The sequence below is a fragment of the Homo sapiens genome, chromosome 1, assembly GCF_000001405.40.
Source record: "Homo sapiens chromosome 1, GRCh38.p14 Primary Assembly".
Taxonomy (NCBI): domain Eukaryota; kingdom Metazoa; phylum Chordata; class Mammalia; order Primates; family Hominidae; genus Homo; species Homo sapiens.
This window is the reverse complement of record NC_000001.11, coordinates 99,559,112-99,560,806: the sequence shown is the minus strand read 5'-3', so window position 1 is coordinate 99,560,806 and position 1,695 is coordinate 99,559,112. Positions and strand designations below refer to the sequence as shown.

Below are 1,695 nucleotides of genomic sequence, written 5' to 3'. Positions count from 1 at the left end.
TTTACTTGTAATGCACGATTAACATCACCCTTCTAGCACCACAAACAGTCATTGCTGATGGCACTTCATAGTTAGCAGTGTTTATGTTTTAAGAGTTCAAAGTGCTTCATGAACATTTTCTCTATTTCTTTAGATCCCTTATCCTTTCAGATCAGCCCACACTGCATGTATACTGAGTCAGCCCACAATGGGAGTTTCACCAGAGTTTTTGACTAATAGAATCAGTCTATGAAGCTTCCTTAGCCCTGCCTAATGATGGATTTGCAGCTATCAAGAGATGCTTTTGGGTGTTCTGCTGAGATCTTCCTAATCATCTCTCTGTAGCCTGCCTTAATTTGTTCATACCACCTGCCAAGATCTATGCTAAGCTGCACAGTTGGAAAGGCTGAAATCCGTTCTACTTTTTTTGCAAGATCGGTTACACCTCCTCACCCTTATCTTCTCCCTTCCCAGTCTCATTAGCTTCCCCAGAAGGCAGTGAAAATGTCTATTCACAAGAGGAGGTCTGAAGGCCCAGAGAGTATTTGCTGTATTTCCTGGTCATTCAATAAGTATAAAAGAAGAATCAGAGTTCCCTCTGTCCTCCTCATGTGTCCTAACTGCTAGATCACTCCACTTCTTTATAGATGACTAATTTTCAGGAAAAGCAGAAAGCATTTTCTTTTTTTCTTTGAAGACACTTAAAAAGCATGAAATACTGAAATGAACAAGGAATTTCGGTTCAGAGGTCTAATAGTTGAGTTATATAATAATTCCAGCATTTATTACTTTCTTGATCTTACACTTTGGTTTCTTAATCTTAAAGTTAAGATTAATTTTAATCTTAAATATTTTAATTTTAATCTTAATCTTAAATTTGAAATAATAAAATCTGGCTCATGGGGGCTAGACTTTATTGCAAGTACTCTTCATCGCAAGAGTAATGAATAGTGGAAGTGCTCTGTATACCATAAAGATTCATAAAATAGTTAATCATTATTTGAATATTTGAATCTGTGAATGTATGTTCTCATAAAAATGCAGAAAATGTAGGATTTTCTAATTTTATGGTAATATTGAATGGCTGAAAAATCGGGCAGTTTTTACCATTTGGCTTTGGAGCAGGGAAGGGTAGAAGAAAAACGGGAAGAAATTTTGCTTCACCCTAGTTTGTCACTCAAGCGATTGCAATTGACAGCAACAAAAATTTAGACTATGGAAGAATACGAGTTTGACTAGTAGCTCCTGTTAATTTTGCTGCATTTCATTCTTGCATGGGTCCACGAGGAAGTTAAAAGCAGTGATAACATTAAAGGTAAGATGAATTATTCCTGTAATGTTGAGGCCAAAATTTCTGATGGAGCTTTCCAAAAGTGTATAAAGAATCATTCTTATAGGGCCGATCTCCATGAATTGTTCTTTATTTACCATGCAGAACTTTGTAAATATTTAACTTTCTTCAGGGTTTGGAATGCACAAGAGTAATTTATTATTTCTAATGATTAGAAAGAGTCTTGGTATGTGCAAATAAAAGGTATGAGTTAAAAGAGAAAGCATAATATATTTCTTTGTAAGTAGCAGGCAGAACAGCATATAAAGAGAAAAAATAAGGAATGGCTTATCCCTCAGCAATGCACAAGAGGTAGTGTTTAAAGTAATAGTAGCTTTTATTCACGGAGCACTTAGTATGTGCAAGATGCTATTTGGGCTACGTGC

The 1,695-nt window shown here is 35.6% G+C and overlaps 1 annotated feature.

The window, feature by feature from the left end:
* Positions 346 to 569: a silencer, noted in NCBI's record as "fragment chr1:100025794-100026017 (GRCh37/hg19 assembly coordinates)". NCBI's record gives its function as "represses an EF-1alpha promoter that drives an FKBP-Casp9 reporter gene in an ReSE screen in K562 erythroleukemia cells {active_cell/tissue: K562}" and the evidence as "EXISTENCE:reporter gene assay evidence [ECO:0000049][PMID:32094911]".